Source organism: Homo sapiens, chromosome 3 (assembly GCF_000001405.40).
Source record: "Homo sapiens chromosome 3, GRCh38.p14 Primary Assembly".
Taxonomy (NCBI): domain Eukaryota; kingdom Metazoa; phylum Chordata; class Mammalia; order Primates; family Hominidae; genus Homo; species Homo sapiens.
In genome coordinates, this window is record NC_000003.12 from 57,243,772 (window position 1) to 57,266,352 (window position 22,581).

The 22,581-nt window shown below is 36.7% G+C and overlaps 1 protein-coding gene across 2 annotated transcripts in view; it reads left to right on the forward strand.

Annotated features, from left to right (window-relative positions):
• APPL1 (adaptor protein, phosphotyrosine interacting with PH domain and leucine zipper 1) overlaps positions 1-22,581 on the forward strand; it is a 45,743-nt gene that overhangs the window by 16,043 nt on the left and 7,119 nt on the right. For both annotated transcript variants that reach the window (XM_011533583.4, NM_012096.3), the window contains 12 exons: positions 2,305-2,451; positions 3,624-3,706; positions 4,422-4,580; positions 5,589-5,777; positions 8,498-8,540; positions 9,911-9,967; positions 13,186-13,280; positions 13,475-13,657; positions 15,257-15,309; positions 16,074-16,248; positions 16,346-16,382; positions 16,857-17,003. In XM_011533583.4, the coding sequence (XP_011531885.1) occupies positions 2,305-2,451; positions 3,624-3,706; positions 4,422-4,580; positions 5,589-5,777; positions 8,498-8,540; positions 9,911-9,967; positions 13,186-13,280; positions 13,475-13,657; positions 15,257-15,309; positions 16,074-16,248; positions 16,346-16,382; positions 16,857-17,003 (1,368 nt within the window). The remainder of the gene's footprint in view (positions 1-2,304; positions 2,452-3,623; positions 3,707-4,421; positions 4,581-5,588; positions 5,778-8,497; positions 8,541-9,910; positions 9,968-13,185; positions 13,281-13,474; positions 13,658-15,256; positions 15,310-16,073; positions 16,249-16,345; positions 16,383-16,856; positions 17,004-22,581) is intronic.

The following is a 22,581-nucleotide window of genomic DNA, read 5'->3' on the forward strand; positions in this document are numbered from 1 at the left end:
AGTTAAAGGCTCTGGGTATAAAATTTGATATATTTTACATTACTTCTGGCTGCTCAAAGTATTTTAAAAAACACTCTGTCACCAACTTCATTTTATTTAAAAATTCATTGAGCACCTAATATACGTCAAGCAGTCTGTTGGGTACCTTGGGGGAACAACATGAATAGGCTTCACTCCTGCCCTCAAAGACTGGATACTCCACATTTATTGAAGGCTACCTGTGTGAAGGCATGCAGGTGGACTAGGAACCAGAGTACAAGGATGACAAGAAGGCATGAATTAACTCTGTTATTAGTTAAATACAATAATAGGGGTTTTAATAAAATGCTGAGAGAGCACAGAGAGGGCAGCAGTTCACTTTGATTGGTGAATTGGGAAAGGTTACACTTTTTTTTTTTTTTTGAGACAGGGCCTCATTCTGTCTCCCAGGCAGGAGTGCAGTGGCTCCGTCTCGGCTCACTGCAACCTCCGCCTCCTGGGTTCAAGTGATCCTCCTGTTTCAGCCTCCCCAGTAACTGGGATTACAGGTGTTAGCCACTATGCTCAGCTAATTTTTGTATTTTTAGTAGAGGTGGGGTTTCACCATGTTGGCCAGGCTGGTCTCGAACTCCTGACTTCAGGTGATCTGCCTGCCTCGGCCTCCCAAAGTGCTGGGATTACAGGCTTGAGCCACCACACATGGCCAGCAAAGGTTACACTTTTAGAAGGTGACATTTACATTAAAGATAAGTGGATAACACCAGTTTGGAATCGGAGAGAGTGCTTTCCTGAAAGAAAAACAGCCTTTCAGAGGCACATGGTGGAGTTGGGAGAGTGTAAAGATTAAGAGTACTCTGTGACAATAAAGGAAATGTTAGGAGATATGGCAGAAAGAGTAAGAAGTATATTAGTACCAGATTACTATATTAATGACCTTGAAATTTGTGTTAGAGGGAGTGGACAGCCGCCAAAGGATTCTAAGTAGGTGAATAACATCATGCAATTGTGTTATAGAACAAACATACTAATGAAAATGTGAAGAGGACAAGACTAGAGGATATCCAGTGAAAGGAATTGGAATAGTTTGCAGAGATACAATGAAGGCCTCAGCTAAGGTTGTTACTGAAAATGGAGAGGAAGGAGTACTTTTGGGAGATATTTTTTTAAGTAGAATTGACAAGACTTGTGGTAATAGGAGGAATAAAAAATGAGTCCTAGATTTCTTGGATGTCTGGATGGATCCTGTAGTAATTAAGAAAGGTAAGAAACAAAGCAGAAGAACAGGTTTTGTGTACAAAACTATCTTCAGTTTTGTACATTTTTAGCACATAAACACACATAAAGAACCCAGCTGGAGATGTGTTTACTCTGTCACTTGGGAAGGTGAGAGGGAGGAGATAAAATTTGTGAGTCATTGAGTCATTGGTGTATTGGAATATTAGAATATTCTTCGTACTTGAGGATTCTAAGGAAAGCAGGAAGGCAGAAGAACCTAATGCCTATTACATAATAGGTATTCAATAAATATTTGTTGTCTGAATAAAAGAACTCTAGGGAGCACACGTATTTCAAGTATGGGTGAAGGAAGACAAGCAAGTGCAAGAGAGGAAGACTGATAGGGAGAGAACCAGGAGGGGAGAATGGTATGCTGTGAACTGATCAAAGTCAAAGACTAATGACTAAGCTAATAACAAACAATTGTCTGCCATTCCTCCTTGTCGTAAGCTTTCTCTGCCATGCTTAGTTTAGTTATTGTACCATTCTTAGTTACGTACAGAATTCTGTTTTCAATATGCAGTTTTTTTTTTTTTTGAGACAGTCTCTCTCTGTCACCCAGGCTGGAGTACAGTGGTGTGATCTTGGCTCACTGCAACCTCCCCCTCCCAGGGTGAAGCTATTCTCATGCCTCGGCCTCCCCAGTAGCTGGAATTATAGGTGTGTACCACTGCACCTGGCTAATTTTTTTTTCCATTTTTAATAGAGTCGGTTTCACCATGTTGGCCAGGCTGTTCTTAAACTCCTGACCTCAAGTGATCGTCCCGCCTCGGCCTCCCAAAGTGCTGGGATTACAGGCATGAGCCACCACGCCTGGGCTCAATGTGCATTTTGTAAATTATGTGGTTGGAAGTTAAACAGGAAAATTTGCTTAACCAGTATGTTGAAGGATTTCTAAAAGATCAGAAAACAGGAACATTAATGCTCAATTGCTTGTGATACTCAATTCCTTGGGTAGGCTCTTCTCCACAGCTCCTACTGAAGATAATACAAAATTAAGTAAATAATAGCAGATTATTTACTTAATTATTTAAATCTTTTCATTCAAAGGTGAAGTATGAAGTAACAGAAGATGTGTACACATCCAGAAAGAAACAACACCAGACCATGATGCATTATTTTTGTGCATTAAATACTCTTCAGTACAAGAAGAAAATAGCATTGTTAGAACCTCTACTTGGGTACATGCAAGCTCAGGTAAATACTGTACTGTATTTGGATTATAACTGTCCTAAAAGTTTTATATTAAGCTTGATATTTACATTAAGTATAAGGGTATTATAAACTATTTTCAACATCCTTGTTTATGTCTGTGTTTTAAGAAGTTATTTTTAAAATGTCATCAGACTATTATTTTAAGGAAGTTAGGAAGAATGGTTTTCCTTGCAAATGAAGATTTCAAATATTTTAGGTAAATGAAACCACTTGTTCACCATAGCTGGGGACTGAGAGAACTAAATGAATTTCAGAGTTACACCTATTGCTAGAGCTTCAACTAAACACTTGCTTCATAATAGATCTGAAAAAGAATAAACAAGTTTGAGTTTATCCCATATTCCTTGCATACTTCCTGAGTTAAAAATAATAGATGAACTCCAACGTGCCCAAAGAGTACATCAGGAAGGGGGCTAGAAAATTTGGGTAGTATAAGACAAAGTGTCAGTCTCCTAAAAATCAAGAGTTTAAAGAAAATTGAGGGCAGGCACGGTGCCTTATGCCTATAATCGAGCACTTTGGTAGGCCGAGGTAGGAGGATCATTTGAGTCCAGGAGTTTGAGACTAGCCTCAGCAACGTAGGGAGACCCCATCTCTACAAAAAATGAAAAAATTAGCTGGGCTTGGTAGCATGCCTCGGTGATCCCAGCAACTTGGGAGGCTGAAATGGAAGGATCCCTTGAGCCTAGGAGGCTGAGGCTGCAGTGAGGTTTTATTGTGCAGTCTGGATGACAGACGAGACCCTGTCTCAAAAAAAAAAAAAAAAATTGAATCTATTTAGGTAAAAGAGTACTTTACTGATTATTCCTCAGATAGAAAACTTATCTTTGTAGTAAACATGAAATACTTTATATAATTTATTGGAAATACTTTAAAATTTATTTTCCAATTTTAAAAGATTGTTAACCATATGTATATATTACTTGTTCCAATTCAAAAAATATAAAAGGATATGCAGTGGAATTTAAGTCTAACTTCCTTAATGGCTCCCTGTGCAGTAGAAGTCACAAACTACAATGTATTTTTACACAAATGGGAATATTCCTTTGTTTTTTACTTAACCATGTGTCTTAGAGATTGTTTATATGATTTACTTTAAGTATTGCTTAATCTATTTTTGTATTGTTCAATTCCCCCCACTCCCCACTCTCCAGATAAGTTTCTTTAAGATGGGTTCTGAAAATCTTAATGAACAACTGGAAGAATTTTTAGCTAATATTGGAACAAGCGTTCAGAAGTAAGTATTTTTTTCCTTAAAATTGAAAATGAAATGATGTGAATGATAACAGCTCAATGACATAATGTAAAGATATTTATCATTTACTTTCCTGAGGGAATATTTTCCCTGCCATGAGAGTTTCTTATGTGGTTCATGGTTACTTCTTGTTTTTTTTTAACCTCTTTTTTCCACAGATTGTGAACTTTGAATTTCATAATAGTGATAATTTTATTGATTCTACACTCAGTTTTATGTCTGAATATAACAGACACATAATAGTAACTCCCCATAAGTGAAATTATCTTTAAACTTGAAATTGTGGGAGTTTGATGGGAGATTACTAAATATTGTTTCCAAGCCATGAAAGCTTAGAGAGAAAGCAGTTCTTATCAGGTTCAAAATGCCGAGCAGTGTATGTGGTCAGTCCACGGTATGGAGAGAGATGAAAGTGATTGTTGTTTTAAAGGCACAGGGCAGAACAGTTTGAAAATTACGCCAAAATCAGGCATTCGGGGGGCTTCATTTGTTTTTTGAATTTAGTATTGTTTCCAAAATATCTAAGTTTCAAATAAACTGTAAACCTGTTTTAAAATATATTCGTGTTGTTTTAACCACCCATGCCGCTCTTCCTCTCTTTAAGAAAACATACCCGAAACAAATATGCAGGTAAACATGATTGGTAAGGAGTTCTTTATTGGTTGTGATTTGTAGCAAATAATCTGTTCTGTGTCAGTGTTCGCAGGGAAATGGACAGTGATATAGAGACCATGCAACAGACAATAGAGGATTTGGAAGTAGCCAGTGATCCCTTATATGTGCCTGACCCAGACCCCACCAAATTTCCTGTTAATCGAAATTTAACCCGAAAGGCTGGATACCTTAATGCTAGGAAGTAAGAAAACTATTGTTATTTTTGTATATTGTGTATCATGTAAGACAATACCAAATGAATATAGTAAATAATTGATGTCTGTCATATTTTGATTTTTATTAAAGGTTGAAACTTTTTAGAGGTGTTAGTATTTATGTGAACTTTTTGACAGATGAAGTACATGAATACTTTTCAGAAGTAAAATCCTACCTAGATATTTATTGAATAATGTAGAATGATAAAAGAAGTGAAACCAGGGCTGGGCATGGTGGCTCACGCCTGTGATCCCAGCACTTTGGGAGGCTGAGGCGGGCGGATCACCTGAGGTCAGGAGTTCGAGACCAGCCTGGCCAACATGGTGAAACCCCACCTCTACTAAAAATACAAAAATTAGCTGAGCATGGTGGCTTACACCTGTAATCCCAGCTACTCAGGAGGCTGAGACACGAGAATCACTTGAACATGGGAGGCAGAGGTTGTGGTGAGCCGAGATCCCACCACTGCACTCCAGCCTGAGGGACAGAGTGAGACTCTGTCTCAAAAAAAAAAATGAAGTGAAACTAATTTGAGTTTAAATAAATATTCACATATTGTATCATAACATGAGAATGCTATGAAATATCATTTATCCTACTTTAATATATTTGTAATTATAGCACCAAGTCAAATGTTAGTTTTCACCTGATGATAGGATGAAGCAGGTTAACCCTAGAAATAAAATAAATTCTGTTGTTTTGAATTTACTCCCTTGGAAATTGAACTATAACCTATATTTTATGGATCATTATTATAACAGCCACAGTTTGATAATTTCCAGCCTTGTTTTGGAAACTGTATACACATTCACAAAAGTGAGTCAACATACATGAATTTATTTTAGAGACTGAAAGCATATTTATATTTATTTTCTTGGCATCTTGGTGCCTCTTCGCAAGCCAGTTCATTGTAACATGCTTTATCTTGTGTCTAGCTGATGATGAGATTTCAGGTATGTTGTTATTAAAGAGTGAATGTGCTTTCTTCATTCAGTAAAACAGGCTTGGTGTCATCTACCTGGGACAGACAGTTTTACTTCACGCAGGGTGGAAATTTAATGAGTCAGGCCCGTGGGGATGTAGCAGGAGGCCTGGCCATGGACATAGACAACTGTTCAGTGATGGCTGTGGACTGTGAAGACAGACGATATTGTTTTCAGATCACCTCTTTCGATGGAAAAAAGTTAGTATTTTTTTTCTACTACTACTAATCTATAGTATATTAAACTTCTGAAATGTGAGATAATTCCTTTTTGTTTAGAAATTTTATGGACATTTTAGGTTCATTATGTATTAAGATAAATTGCTTTTTAATCTTGTAGAAATATATTGAATTTTTGTCTCTGGCTTGGTTAAATGGTTTCTTGATATTTTGAAGTTGTCAAAGCAATGTCATATAGTAAAGACCTGTGATTTCATGTTAGGGAACTGGAACTGAAAATCCTGCATAGTATCAGGGAAGACAGAACAAGTTAATGGAAAGAGTCCTAAACCTGGGGTCAGAAGGATCAAACTCTGGATCCATTACTTACTGTGTGGTCTCAGACAGTACAGTAATGTCTGTAACCCCTCTCCGCTCCATTTTTCTTCATGTAAAATGTGAATGGGGGGGGGTTGTAATCCCTATCGTAAATTGTTGTGAGGAACAGAAATTCTAACATATGTAATGTGACTGACATATAGTAGGTGCTAACAATAGTGTTATTTTAAAATGTTAATCAAGTATTTCTGATCAGATTATTTTTCCATTAATGTTTATAATACCATTTAAAAAATTTCTGTTACCTTTTTTTGAGGCGGGGTCTTACTGTGTCTCCCTGGCTGCAGTGCAGTGGTGTAAACATGGCTCACTGTAGCCTCAACCTCCTGGGCTCAAGGGATCCTCCTACCTCAGGATCCCAAGTTGCTAGGATCACAGGTGCATGCCACTGTGCCTGGCAATTAAAAAAAATTTTTTTGTAGAGATGTCTCATCATGTTGCCCAGGCTGGTCTCGAACTCCTGGACTTAAGTGATCTTCCTGCTTTAGCCTCCCAAAGTGCTGGGATCATAGGCATGAGCCAGCATGTCCAGGCTTCTATTACCTTTGCATTAAATGAGAATCTTTAAAGTAGCATTTAAAAGAAATTTTCAAAAAGCATGGAAAATGTAAAAAGGAGTATGAAAAAATCCTACTGTCTTATTAATCAAAAGCGACAATTAACTTTTTTGTCCATTGCCTTCCAATTTTTAACTTAAGTACATTTTTAAAATAGTTGAAGAAATACTATAATTTGGATTTGCAGCCACCTATTAAAAACATGTTATAATGGCTATTCTATAATCTATTTAAGGACATACAGTATAATTTAAACATTTTCCTAATGATAGATGTTTAGACTATCTGCCATTTTCCCCCCACTCAATTAAAATACTGCTTTTGACCTTTGAACTTTCTTTCTTTTTTTTTTTTTTTTTTTTTGAGACGGAGTCTCGCTCTGTCGCCCAGGCTGGAGTGCAGTGGCGCGATCTCGGCTCACTGCAAGCTCCGCCTCCCGGGTTCACGCCATTCTCCTGCCTCAGCCTCCCGAGTAGCTGGGACTACAGGCGCCTGCTACCACGCCCGGCTAATTTTTTGTATTTTTAGTAGAGACGGGGTTTCACCGTGTTAGCCAGGATGGTCTCGATCTCCTGACCTCGTGATCCGCCCGCCTCGGCCTCCCAAAGTGCTGGGATTACAGGCGTGAGCCACCGCGCCCGGCCTGAACTTTCTTAATTTAATATTCAGGAGCAGCCTGTGGGTTCCCTGACAGTCATTTTTTCCCCTGTATTTATGCGCATTAAGATATTATAAAAATAAATAAATTTGACCTTTACTCCTGAAAAAAAGATACTATAGGCCGGGCTTGGTGGCTCACGCCTGTAATCCCAGCTCTTTGGGAGGCCAAGGCGGGTGGATCACCTGACATCAGGAGTTTGAGACCAGCCTGGCCAATGTGGTGAAATCCAGTCTCTACTAAAAATACAAAAATTATCTGGGCATGGTGGTGGGTGCCTGTAATCCTACCTACTTGGGAGGCTGACACAGGGAGAATTGCTTGAACCCAGGAGGCAGAGGTTGCAGTGAGCCGAGATCGCGCCACTGCACTTCAGCCTGGGTGACAGAGTGAGACTTTGTCTCAAAAAAAAAAAAAAAAAAAGATACTATAGCTCACTATCCTTTATCAAAATGGTTGTTTAATTTCACATTCCTTCTACAAACATATAATGAATGCCAATATTGTGTGGATTTATCACACTAGATGTTGGAATCACTGTATTCATTTATCAAAATTACCAACTTGTTAACATGTTACTTACTATTAAGTATTTACTTTTTGCTTAATGCTTACCATGATTTCCCATTTCACATTCCTGGTGTGATGCAAAATTAATAAAAATTATTATTTTCTCAAACTCTAATATCTATAGAAAAGCGAAATAATGATATGTTAGTGATTAACATTGAAATATTTGATTTAATATTAAAGGAGAAATAATGAAGTAAAGTTTTTTCTATTAGGATCATTGATGTATATTTGAAATATATATGAGTTCATAATATATATGAAATATATATGATAAGTTGAAATGCATTGCCTTCACTGAAATGTAACTTTGTCATGGTCTGTCTTCTGAGGATCAGCACCTGTTCCCTTTTTGGTACATCTTGGCATAGATAGTCAAAGTCAGAGCTGTTAAAGTCTGCATCCTGATACCTCTGGTGGTCTCCTTTTCCTAAGATACCGTTGGTTGTGTTTTGTTTTTGTTCTTTTAATATCGATTTTTATATATGCCTTTAACTTTAAAGATTAAAAAGTTACCTCGGATTATGTTGAAAATACTTTTTTAAACAGTTGAGGCTCAAACGTCTCTTCTCTTCCAGATCTTCAATTTTGCAAGCAGAGAGTAAAAAAGATCATGAAGAGGTAAGATTTTACCTAGTTCATTTCTTCATTGACATTTTAAAATATTTTTCTGATGACAAAACATATATTAATGTGTTCATTGTAGAAATTTTGGAAAATCCTAGTTAATTAAAAATCTTTCTTTTTCTTTTTTGTTTTTGTAAAAGTCTATTGTCCTCGAGCAATATTCTTAAGTTTCTCACAGAATTTTATAGTGGGAGGGACCTTAGAGATCATCTCTGCTATTTTAAAGGCTCAGATTGAGAAATGACCTTGTGACTGTTGCTGTCTGGCAGGCTGTTAGTATCATGAGGTGACAGTTTAATTTATTCCCTTCTCTCACCAATCCTTTGAGACACTATTTGCTACACTAAGAACATAGTGGCAGCAGATGTGACATGGCAGGAAGCAACTAAAGCTGAAAACCTTGGAGAAATGAAAGATAGAAAAACAAAAATTTGGGAGTCTCTGTTCTTCCTCATGAGCCTTTTATTTTTGGCTCCATTTTTACTCCTAGTATATCAGATATGGAAGGTAAGGTATTAGCAATAATTGATGCTTCAAACCTTTATCTTGAGAAACATTCTTCCATGAAAATGTATCTTAGCTTGATTTTTAGCCTTTTAATTTGGCATTATAATTGTGTTGGTAAAAGATAAAAGTTGGAAATGCTATAGAGATCTACCTTTATTTACTTCTTATGGAAAAGAGTAATATTAAAACTTGCTTTTAGTCTCTGAGGAACACAGACAAATGTCTCTGTTCTCTGCATAGTTTGCCAAACAAAATATTTGTTTAGATTAGTGAGGCTCTTTGGGCACTTGAATCCTCGAGAGTGAAGCAGAAGATGTAGAGCAGAGATTGTTTTCTATGCTAATTATTTATAAACTTGACAGAAGGGAGGCATGTAAAATATATTCACCAAGAATATATTTATCTTTTAAATTTTTTTACATTTGTGTTAATTATGATACCCGAGTTCACACTGTCTTGTTTGGTGGGGATTAGGAGGGGAAGTGATATAAAAAGATAAATATAGATTATTAAGTATAATTTAACATGATTGCTATATTTTTTATTGCCTTATATGAATTAAACTTGAGATTCTTACATAAATCTACTAAATGTTTTCATATATTTAAATAATAAAAATGTTGAATGTGCTTTTATATATATTTATATATATGCACCCTCCTTATGAAATGTTTTCTTATAAGGAAGATAAATATATTACTTCTAATGAAACATCTGTTATGAAATGTTTTCTTATAAGGAAGATAAATATATTACTTCTAATGAAACATCTGTTGCAGTTGAGTATTGAACATTTGCCTTTACAAGAGAAGCTTTGTAGAAAAAAAATTATATTTTTCTATTTTTTCCTCTTGCAGTGGATCTGTACAATAAACAACATATCTAAACAAATATACTTAAGTGAAAATCCAGAGGTAATATTTTTATTTTATGTTACCCAGATCTAGCAAAATTGAGTAATTTTGTGGCTTACATGTTTTTATTAATTCATAATTTCTCAGGTTCTGTAATTTTTTAATTTGACCTTGAATGAGTAGCTTTTTTTTTTTTTTTTTTGAGACAGAGTCTCGCCCCATTGCCCAGGCTGGAGTGCTGTGGCCTGATCTTTGTTCACTACAACCTCCACCTCCCAGGTTCAAGCGATTCTCCTGCTTCAGCCTCACCAGTAGCTGAGATTACAGGCGTGTGCCATGACACCCAGCTAATTTTTGTATTTTTAGTAGAGACAGGATTTGGCCATGTTGGCCAGGCTGGTCTCGAACTCCTGTCCTCAGGTGATCTGGCCATCTCGGCCTCCCAAAGTGCTGGGATTACAGGCGTGAGCCACTGTGCCTGGCCTGAATGAGTAGCTTTAATGTGCCATGAATGTAATGAGTGGTCTTCCTAGAACAATAAATTATTTCAAAAGATACTCAGTCAACCAACAAATATTTATTGGGTGTGGACTATTTAACTCTGCGTTGAGCACCATGAAGAAAGGAAATACAGAAGAAAATTGAGCCATGGCCTCTGCCCTCTAGGAGCCTATCTGTATGGAGAGACAAAACTAAAACTTTAAGTAACATTTCAGATAAAACAGGATGTAACTGAAAGCATATGGCGATGACTAAAGGCTTAGGTTTTGAGAATAGTTTTGAGAATATTAAGATCAGTGTGGACTTTAGAGAAAGCTCTGTGGAGATGGTGGAAACCTGAGTTGGGTAGGATTTGTTTGTTTTGAGGAAAAGAAGACACAGTGCAGATAAGAGAAAAAAAGAATACAAATGCAGAAATGGCAGGTTTATGAAACTAGCAGTGTAATTAAAGATTCTTTTTTTTGAGACAGAGTCTTGCGGTGTTGCCCAGACTGGAGTGCAGTGGTGCTATCTCAGCCCACTGCAGCCTCTGCCTCCCGGGTTCAAGCGATTCTCCTGCCTCAGCCTTTTGAGTGGCTGGGACTACAGGCCTGCGCCACCATGCCCAGCCAATTTTTGTATTTTTAATAGAGACAGGGTTTTGCCATGTTGGCCAGGCTGGTCTTGAACTTCCAACTTCAGGTGATCCACCTGCCTCGGCCTCCCAAAGTGCTGGGATTACAGGCGTGAGCCACCACGCCCAGCCAAGTTAAAGATTCTTGATAGAGAATACAAAACTGAAATGTGCATACAAGTCACTTAGGGGTCTTGTTAAAATGCGTAATATGATTCAGTATGTCTGGGGTGATACAGCGTGAATTCCCAGTTTTGCAAATTATATTTTGTGTGGCAAGGATATCAAACCAGATGAACCCTGAAGTGTAGACACAGCCACAGGTGCAGTCCAAACATACAGGTAGAACCCAGGGGTACAGAGAATTCTGGAAGGAGTCAAGTAGGTACTGCAGTATAGTTGGAAGAGGACTTGACTCTAGGACAGGAGCTGCCTGACCTCTGCCACTCTTAGTGGGCCTGTCTGTGCTATGGGAGTCCAGGCAACTCCTGGCTGATGATTTCAGCTGAGGCTGGGAGGGCTAATTTCTTTGGGAGGCTCTCACTCTTCTAAATTGTAATCTGCTGTTGATGTAATGGTGGATTAGATGGGAGGCCTAGACTAGTTTAGTAACTGATTGATATGAAGGATGAAAGAGATGACTAAGGTAAAGATGACTTCCAGGTTTTAAACCCAAGGGAAGAGAAGAAGAATTTGGGAAAGAAGAGTTCTGTTTTTATCTTAACGGCTTTGAGGTGCCAGCTAAGGAATGCCTAGGAGGAAGTTTTGAACCATAGAAACAAAATCTCATGACCTCCAAAATACTCGTAATTTGTTAGTTTTATAATGTTATTATATTTACATTGTAACATATTTATTACAATTATGTCTAATAAAATAAATTATGAGTTTAATTACGGAAAATCAGTGTTAACTATAGAGAAGGCTTTTGCTTTTAGTAATTTGATCTCCTGCCAATCTAGCTTTTCCTTTTTGTAAGGTTATTTGGGAACAACAAAAAATACCATTAAAATACAAATTAAATAATTTATTTTATCATTTAGGTCATACAGTGTTTGGATTTGAATAGTTTGTAATACTTACAGTCTTTTACTACCAATTATCAGAACTCTAATTTTTAGTTAATATTTCCTAGGTTATCCAGAATTATTTTATCTGTATTAGTGAGAATAGGAATTTTGATCAGTTTTTAGCATTGTATTAGTCATTTTGCTAACCATAAGACACAGAAGTGCAAAATTGTTATGTGATTATTTTTTCTAATTTAAAGACCATTTTTATGGAATAGTGCCTGTAGTCTCAACTACTCAGGAGGCTGAGGGGGGAGGATTGTTTGAGCCTAGGAGATCAAGGATGCAGTGAGCCATAATCATGCCATTGCACGCCAGCCTGGGCAATAGAGAACGTATCTCCCAAAAAAAGACCATTTAAAAAATTGTGAAAAAATCTGTAAATTTACCATGTTAACCATTTTTAAGTATACAGAAATGTTAACTATATGTACGTGATTAAAACAGATCTCTAATTTAAATACCATTTTTTATTTAGCCAGTATTTTAAATAAAACAGTAAGTCTAAAGTATTTCTTATGGAAAGCTTTCTTATTTTCAATTTTTTGGTCTGAAAATATGACAGCTTTATAAATTAATAAACAGATACTTCTGAGCATAAATATATTCTGGAAAATTGTGAAAACTTTACCAGCATAGTTATAAAATACTCATATTTTGTGAATATTTCCTATTCCTTCTAAATTTCTTTATTCAACAAATGTATCGATTGTCCATTGTGCCAGGCACTGGGCTGCATGTTAGCAATACAAACTTTAATAAAAAATATCTGGTAGTTAAAAATGTAAAGAAAACAATATTTTCTTTAAAAATTTAAAGTGTGCAACACTTGCAGGGAATTTTAAAAAATTAAAAAGCAATATCTAATAATTATGTATAAGTAGAAAATCAGATTTTTTTGCTAGATTATAGGAAGTAAGAGGAAATCAGTTATGTACCCTAATATTAAGACGAGGGAATATAGTACTACTTTAGTAGCTCTAATTTATATTTTAAGTGTAACTCAGAAGCATTCTAACAATTCAGAGTTACATTCAAACTTTTGGTTTGCTTACTTTACTAATATTAGTCCTTTTTTAAAAAAATTGAAATAGGAAACTGCTGCACGAGTAAATCAATCAGCTCTGGAAGCTGTCACTCCTTCCCCATCTTTCCAGCAGAGGCACGAGAGCCTGCGGCCAGCAGCAGGGTAAGTTACCACACTGAGTTATTTAAAGAAGGAGATGGGCTATTTAAAGTATCTGTGATCTGGGATTATGTTTGTACTGAAACTTAAGACTTCTCATTGACTTATAATATTGTGTTTTCTTTTTTCATAGTTTGTTAAATATTTAATATCCAAAAGGGAAAATTAAATGCAATGCCTTCTTGTTTTATGCTTAGACAATCTCGGCCACCGACAGCTCGAACCAGCAGTTCAGGATCCTTAGGATCTGAGTCTACAAATTTGGCTGCCCTCTCTCTAGATTCTCTTGTTGCCCCAGACACCCCAATACAGTTTGACATAATTTCTCCTGTGTGTGAAGATCAGCCTGGCCAGGCAAAAGCCTTTGGCCAGGGAGGCAGGTGGGTGATAGCATCACAGGTACATTGTGCTGTGGTCTGTAAGGCTTATAATCCCCTGTCTGCATTTCAGAGTCATCTCTTATTTATAATGTATATCAGCTATGTTGTACTTTCTTTGTTTAATTATGTAACATATTGTTAGGGAAGAACCATGCAGGTTTTTTTCTCTATGTCTTCTGCCTCAGTTAAGGAGTTAAGATAATTTAGTTTCCAAATATTTAATTCTGTATTGCTTATTAGGTCTATTTCTTGGATACTTGCTCTTAAAATTGCAGAAGAAAGTTGATAGCTGTCTTTAGGTCATGACAATTTTTAAAAAATTCTTGAGGGTAATACATGTGATATAGGTTTATTAGAAAATATTATCTTATACCAGAATAAGAAATCTTCAGGAAGTTACTAAAACATTATCACTATTATGAATTATGAATGAGTCATTGTTTAGTTGTATGATGAATATTCTCACCAAAGCAGTTAAAATTTTTCCTTGGCTGTGATTGAAGGAAACATGACTTAAGGCAAATCATTTATTAAGTAGAGTGGACACCTAATAAACTGATAATATATTAATTTGGATATACATGGCTGTGACCCAGAAAAAGTCATTTACATTTGATCACAGAAATACACTTAGCATTTGATGTAATAGGACACATACTAAAGAGATTAATTTCCTGTTATCTTACTGTCAGTGTTTTTTTAGAACCACTTAGCTCTCTGCTTCCAAAACCTACTTTGTTTTGTTTTGAGATGGGGTCTCACTCTGTTGCCCAGGCTGGAGTGCAGCGGCATGATCATAGCTCACTGCAGCTTTGACCTTCTGGGCTCAAGGGATCCACCTGCCTCACCCTCCTGAGTACCTGGGACCACAGGCGTGCGCCACCACACCCAGCTAATTTTTAAATTTCTTTGGTAGAGACGGGTTCTTCCTGTGTTGCCCTAGCAGATCTCAAACTCCCAGGGTCAAGCAGTCCTCCTGCCTCGGCCTCCCAAAGTGCTGAGATTACAGGTGTGAGCCACAATGCCCAGCCCTCCAAAACCTACTTTGAGTTGTACTTTTCTTCCTTCACTGTGGTGTGCCACAAGCCATGCACACTAAGGAGGAAGGTAGCTTCCATCTCCAGTTCACTTTTCTTTTTGCATTGTTACTTACGCTTTAAGAAATACAGGTTTAAAACTAGATTATAGGTAACTTGTAACATGTACTTACAGAACCTAAAAAGAAGTTTTTACAATTCCAGGACATTCTTGGCATTTTTCTCAAGCAACTAAGATTGCAGTTAAATAAGTGTTCCTCTGTGCTAGCTTATTTAAATTCAAGAACTTTTGCAACATGGTTTATTATGTTGATTTTTTGTTGTGTATGTCTAAACTTCCAATTCATCTGTGTCTTCTAAAGTGCACCAACATTGATCAGTTAGTGTGTGAGGGCAGAGGCCTTCATCATAGTAATTTAGTGATCAATAGTGTTTCTTAATAGGATGGGGCATTTTAGAGCTTTTTTTTTTTAAATGTTAACTGTGGTTTTAATAATTAGATTTCTTCTATGTGGCTCATGGTAACTGACCATGTGTTCATATTTTCTTCTAAACTTTTTAGGCGTACAAATCCATTTGGAGAATCTGGAGGAAGTACAAAATCTGAAACTGAAGGTAAGACAGATGTGCAGCATTCATATATTTTAGAACTGCTTCTCAGCAAACTGTGAATAATTTATTGTTTATATTTGCTCTGCTACTAAGCTCAGTTTTAATGCTATCTTTACTTCAGAATTTCCTCTACTTACTTATAGTACACTTGAAGCAACAGAACTTAATCTGACTTAAGATGTTGTGATTCATACAAAACGATAGACTCTCATACTTTTGACTTTATAGTCAAATTCAGTGCCTAAGATACCTTTCAAGCTTTTCCTAACAGCTGATGTTTCTCTTCTGGTACTGGAGCATAAATTTTGTTTTTCCGCCACTAACTATTTATTTGAATTCTAAACTTACAGAAATGCTGTAAGAACCACCAGTTGTTGTGTGTTTGTGTGTGTGTGTGTGTGTTGAGACAGGGCTCCCTATGTTGCCTAGGCTGGTCTCGAACTCCTGGGCTCAAGGGATCCTCCTGCCTTAGCCTCCCAAAGTGCTAGGATTACAGGTGTGAACCACCACGCCTGGCCTCAGAACTGCCAGTTGTTGAAGCATTACTTTTAGCTATTTGAATTTGAAACCCTAATTTTCCTATAACTTGGAATACTGTAGTTAGGAGTTATTTTGAAATGTCTCCCTTAGGCTGTTGAATTTTTCACTAGAAAACCTAAAAGGAGGCAGTGTATTTTATTCTTTTGGAAAAGAAATATGGCGAAAAAAATAAAATGTAAATTTATACAGTAAAAAAAAAATATGTAATACACCTTGTTCTATTATAGATTCTATTCTTCATCAGTTATTTATTGTCCGATTCCTTGGTTCAATGGAGGTGAAATCAGATGACCATCCAGATGTTGTTTATGAAACTATGCGCCAAATCTTAGCTGCCCGGGCCATCCATAACATCTTTCGTATGACAGAATCGCATTTATTAGTCACTTGTGACTGTTTAAAGTAAGTAAAACCCTCCCTTAAAAAACTGTAGAAAAAACATTTACATGATTTCAGCCTAATTAAAATTTGTTTTCCAATTTTTAAATTATTATTTTAGGTTAATTGATCCACAGACACAAGTTACAAGGCTCACGGTGAGTTCCACATGATTTAAGCTTTGTTTTAGGTCCCTTTGTATATATACACATCTTACAACTTGATAATAATCCTGATCCTGTATATTCAAGTGTGATAGTATCAGCTATGATTGGTCTTTGGCTGTTGTAGTTAAGTCTATGGCCATCTCCAAAAAGTTGTCATTGAACATTTTATGTAACTTAAAAGAATTAACACAATTCTTTTTGTAATTTTTTTAACACAGTTCTTTTTGACTTTGTAAAATGTGTTAATGACTAATAAAACAAATGTAATATTCAACAACCTTTTTCTGCTTGTTAATTCAAACCAAATATGACATTACTTGTTTCTGCATTACAAGTCTGTTAAAATAATTGGCTTTAATATATTAAAATATTTATATTTTTAGAACTTAGCATATGAGTTTGTCACAAGTGCTGCTGTAATGACTTGTAAGATCTCATGTTTGCTTCTGATGTTTTCTGTGGCAGTTTCCATTACCTTGTGTAGTTTTGTATGCTACACACCAGGAAAATAAGCGCCTTTTTGGATTTGTTCTTCGGACATCAAGCGGGAGAAGTGAAAGTAATCTGTCATCAGTCTGCTATATATTTGAGTCAAACAATGAGGGGGAAAAGGTACATGGCTTTTCAGAATATCTCTGTCATAACCACTTACTAATTGATTCTTACTAAGATTTAATAATAATTAAATTCTTACAAATTAAATTAGTTAGTAATTACTGATTGAATTCTTTACAATTTATACAAATTTATGAGGCACATGTGAATTTTGTTACATGTATAGAATGTACAGTAAGCAAGTCAGGGTATTTAGGGTGTCCATCATCCAAGTACAATACATTTTTGTGAAGTATAGTCACCCTACTCTGCTGTCAGATATTAAATATATTCTTTCTATCGTAATTTATGGTTGTACCCTTTAATCAGCTTTTCTTCATCCTCCCCCTTTCCTCATCACTCAGCCTTCCCAGTCTCTGTTGTCTGTCATTCCACACTCTGCCTCCACGTGATCAATTTTTTGGCTCCCACATACAAGTGAGAACATGTGATATTTGTCTTTTTGTGCCTGGCTTATTTCACGTAAGATAATGACTTCTAGTTCCATCCACGTTGTTGTGAATGACATGATTTCATTCTTTTTATGGCTGAATAGTACTCCATTGTGTATATGTACCACATTTTCTTTATTCATTTATCTGTTAATGAACATTTAGATTGACTTAATATCTTTGCTATTGTGAATAGTACTACAGTAAACATGTGAGTGCAGGTATCCTTTTGATACAGATTTCTTTAATTTTGGGTAGATACCCAGTAGTGGGATTGTTGGATCGAATGGTAGTTCTATTTTTAGTTTTTGTTGTTGTTGTTGTTTTTGAGACGGAGTTTCACTCTGTCGCCCAGGCTGGAATGCAGTGGTGCGATCTTGGCTCACTGCAACCTCTGCCTCCTGGGTTCACGCCATTCTCCTGCCTCAGCCTCCCGAGTAGCTGGGATTACAGGTGCCTGCCACCATGCCCGGCTAATTTTTTGTATTTTTAGTAGAGACGGGGTTTCACCGTGTTAGCCAGGATAGTCTTGATCTCCTGACCTCGTGATCTGCCTGCCTCAGCCTCCCAAAGTGCTGGGATTACAGGCGTGAGCCACCATACCCGGTCTATTTTTAGTTTTTTGAGAGATCTCCATACTGTTTTCCATAGTGGTTGTACTAGTTTATGTTCCCACCAACAGTGTATGAGTTCCCCTTTTTTCTGCATTTCACCAACATCTGCTATTTTTTGTCTTTTTAGTGATAGCCATTCTGACTAGGGTAAGAATGGCTCATTGTCATTTTGATTTGCATTTCTCTAATGATTAGTAATGTCGAGCATCTTTTCATATACCTGTTGGCTGTTTTTGTGTCCTTTAAGAAATGCATATTCATATCCTCTGCATACTTTTAAGTGGGATTATTTGATTTTTTCCCTGTTGAGTTCGTTGTATATTCTGGATATTAGTCCCCAGTTGGATGAACAGTTTGCAAATAATTTCTCCCATTCAACAGGTTGTCTGTTTACTCTGTTATTTCTTTGGCTATGCAGACACTTTTTAGTTTAAGTCCCATTTGTTTATTTTTATTGCCTATACTTTTGAGGTCTTAGGCATAAAATCTTTGCCGAGACCAATGTGCAGGAGAGTTTTCCCTTCATTTTCTTCTAGTGTTTTTTTTTTCTATGGAAAATAACCTTTTTTTTTTTTTTTTTTTTTTTTTGAGACAGACTCTTGCTCTGTTGCCCAGGCTGGAGTGCAGTGGCACAATCTTGGCTCACCGTAACCTCCACCTCCTGGATTAAAGTGATTTTCCTGCCTCAGCTCCCAAGTAGCTGGGACTACAGTTGTGTGCCACCATGCCCGGCTAATTTTTTTAGTAGAGACAGGATTTCACCATGTTGGCCAGGCTGGTCTTGAACTCCTGACCTCAAGTGATCCACCTGCCTTGGCCTCCCAAAGTGCTGGGATTACAGGCATGAGCTGCCACACCCAGCTGGAAAAAGAACCTTTAATAGAACAATTATTGAGAATATCGTACTAACAAAGTTTCTCAAGAGACTAATTAGAGCTAAAATGGTGAAAGTAGGATGATCTTTGTTTTTCGTTTTTTGTGGGTACAAGGGGTGTGTGTGTGTGTGTGTGTGTGTGTGTGTGTGTATGCATTTTTTTTTTTTTTTCCAGATGGAGTCTTGCTGTGTCACCTGGGCTGGAGTGCAATGGCGCGATCTTGGCTCATTGCAACCTCCGCCCCCTCGGGTTTAAGCGATTCTCCTGCCTCAGCCTCCTGAGTAGCTGGGTCTATAGGCATGCGCCACCACGCCCAGCTAATTTTGTATTTTTAGTAGAGACAGGGTTTCTCCATGTTGGTCAGGCTGGTCTCAAACTCTCGACCTCAGATGATCCGCCTGCCTCGGCCTCCCAAAGTGCTGGGATTACAGGTGTGAGCCACCTCGCCCAGCCAGGTGTATATATTTATGCAGTACATGAAATATTTTGCTACACTTATGCAATGCGTAATAACCACATCATGGAAAATGGAGTATTCCTTCCCTTAAGCATTTATCCTTTGTATTAGAAACAATCCAATTATACTCTTTTAGTTATTTTTAAATGTACAATTATTATTGACCGTAGTCCCCCGTTCTATCAAATACCAGGTTTTATTCATTCTATTTTTTTTTTTTAATCATTAACCATCCTCCCACCCCCCATCCCCACACTACCCTTCTCAGCCTCTGGTAACCACCCTTCTGTTCTCTGGCTCCATGAGTTCAATTGTTTTGATTTTTAGATCCCACAGATAAGTGAAAACATGCAATATTTGTCTTTCTGTGCCTGGCTTATTTTGCTTAACATAATGACCTCCATGTTCCATATATCTTATTGCAAATGACAGAATCTCATTCTTTTTTATGGCTGAATAGTACTCCATTGTATGTAAGTACCACATTTTCTTTATCCATTTTCTTTATCCATGTATCATCCATTCAAATGACAGAATCTCATTCTTTTTTTCTGGCTGAATAGTACTCCATTGTGTGTGTGTGTACATTTTCTTTATCCATTCATCTGTTGTTTTTTTTTTTTTTCCATTCATCTGTTGATGGACACTTAGGTGGCTTCCAAGTTTTAACTATTGTGAACCGAGCTGCAGCAAACATGGGAGTGCAGATGTCTCTTCAATATACTGATTTCCTTTTTTTAGGTATATACCCAGCAGTGGGATTGCTGGATCATATGGTAGCTCTATTTTTAGTTTTTTGAGGAACCTCCAGACTTTTCTCCATAGTGGTTATACTAATTTACATTCCCACCAACAGTGTACAAGGGTTCCCTTTTCTCCACATGCTTCCCAGCATTTGTTATTGCCTTTTTGCTATAAGCCATTTTAACTGGGGTGAGATGATACATTGTAGTTTTGATTTGCATTTCTCTGATGATCAGTGATGTTGAGGACCTTTTCATATGCCTGTTTGCCATTTGTATGTCTTCTTTTGAAAAATGTCTATTCAAATATTTTGCCCAGTTTTAAATCAGATTAAGGTTTTTCCTATAGAGTTGTTTGAGCTCTTTGTATATTCTGGTTATTAATCCCTTGTCAGATGAGTAGTTTACAAATATTTTCTCCCATTCTGTGGCTTGTTTCTTCACTTTGTTGATTGTTTCCTTTGCAGTGCAGAAACTTTTTAACTTGATGAGATCCCATTTGTCCATTTTTGCTTTAGTTGCCTGTGCTTGTGGGGTATTACTCAAGAAATTTTTGCCCAGACTGATGTCCTGGAGAGTTTCCCCAATATTTTCTTGTAGTAGTTTCATAGTTCAAGGTCTTAGATTTAAGGCTTTAATCCATTTTAATTATATTTAAAAAAATTTAAAAAAAAATAAAAAAAATAAAAAAAAATTTTTTTAAAAAATATTTTTGTATATGGTGAGAGAGAGGGGTCTAGTTTTATTCTTCTACATATGGATATCCAGTTTTCCCGGCACCATTTATTGAAGGGACTGTCTTTTCCCCAATGTATATTCTTGGTGCCTTTGTCAAAAATGAGTTCGCTGTAGTTGTGTGGATTTGTTTCTGGATTCTCTATTCTGTTGCACTGGTCTATGTGTCTTTTTTTTTTTTTTTTGCCAGTACCATGCTGTTTTGGTTACTATAGCTCTGTAGCATTGTAATTTGAAGTCAGGTAATGTGATTTCTCTAATTTTGTTATTTTTGCTCAGAATAACTTTGGCTATTCTGAATCTTTTATGATTCCATATACATTTTCAGATTGTTTTTTCTATTTCTGTGAAGAATGCCATTGGTTTTTTGATAGGGATTGCATTGAATCTATAGATTGCTTTGGGTAGTATGGACATTTTAACAATATTGATTCTTCCAATCCATGAACGTGGAATATGTTTCCATTTTTGGTGTCCTCTTCAATTTCTTTCATCAGTGTTTTATAGTTTTTTGTTTTTTTTGTTTGTTCTTTTGAGACAGAGTCTCATTCTATTGCCCAGGCTGGAGTGCAGTTGCATAATCTCGGCTCACTGCAATGTCTGCCTCCCAGGTTCAAGTAATTCTCATGCCTCAGCCTCCCAGGTACCTGGGATTACAGGTATGCGCCACCACCACCTGGCTAATTTTTGTATTTTTAGTAGAGATGAGGTTTCACCATATTGGCCAGGCTGGTCTCAAACTCCTGGCCTCAAGTGATCCACCTGTCTCGGCCTCCCAAAGTGCTGGGATTACAGGCCTGAGCCACTGCGCCCAGCCTGTAGTTTTCATTATAGAGATCTTTCACTTTGGTTAACTCCTGGGTATTTAATTTTATCTGTGGCTATTGTAAGTGAGATTACTTTATTTATTTCTTTTTCAGATTGTTCACTGTTGGCATATAGAAATGCTACTAATTGTTGTATGTTGATTTTGTATCCTGAAACTTTACTGAATTCATCAGTTCTAATAGTTTTTTGGTGGAGTCTAGGTTTTTCTAAATATAAGATCATCATATCATCTGCAAACAAGGATAGTTTGACTTCTTCCTTTACAATTTGGATGCCTTTTTTCCTCTCTTACCTGATTACTCATCTTCCATCTAAAAGGTGGAAAGGCTTTTTGTTTTTCTGCATTCAGTATGATACTAGCTGTGAGTCTGTCATATATGGCTTTTATTATGTTGAGCTATATTCCTTCTATACCAAGTTTTTTTGAGGGTTTTTAATCATGAAGGGATGTTGAACTTTATCAAATGCATTTTCAGCAGTAATTGAAATGATTAAATAGTTTTTGTCCTTTATTCTGTTGATGTGATGTAGCATATTGATTGATTTGCATATGTTGAACTATCTTTGCATTCCTGGGATAAATCCCACTTGGTCATGATAAATGATCTTTTTAATGTGTTGTTGAATTTGGTTTGCTAGTATTTTGTTGAGGATTTTTGCATCAATATTCATGAGATATATTGGCCTGTAGTTTTCTTTTTTTGATATGTCTTTGTCTGGTTTTGGTATCAGGTAATACTGGCCTCGTAGAATGAGTTTGGAAGTATTCCCTTCTCCTCTATTTTTTGGAACATTTTGGGTAAGATTGGTATTAGTTCTTCTTTAAATGTTTGGTAGAATTCAGCAGGAAAGCCATCAGGTACTGGGCTTTTCTTTACCAGGAGACTTTTTA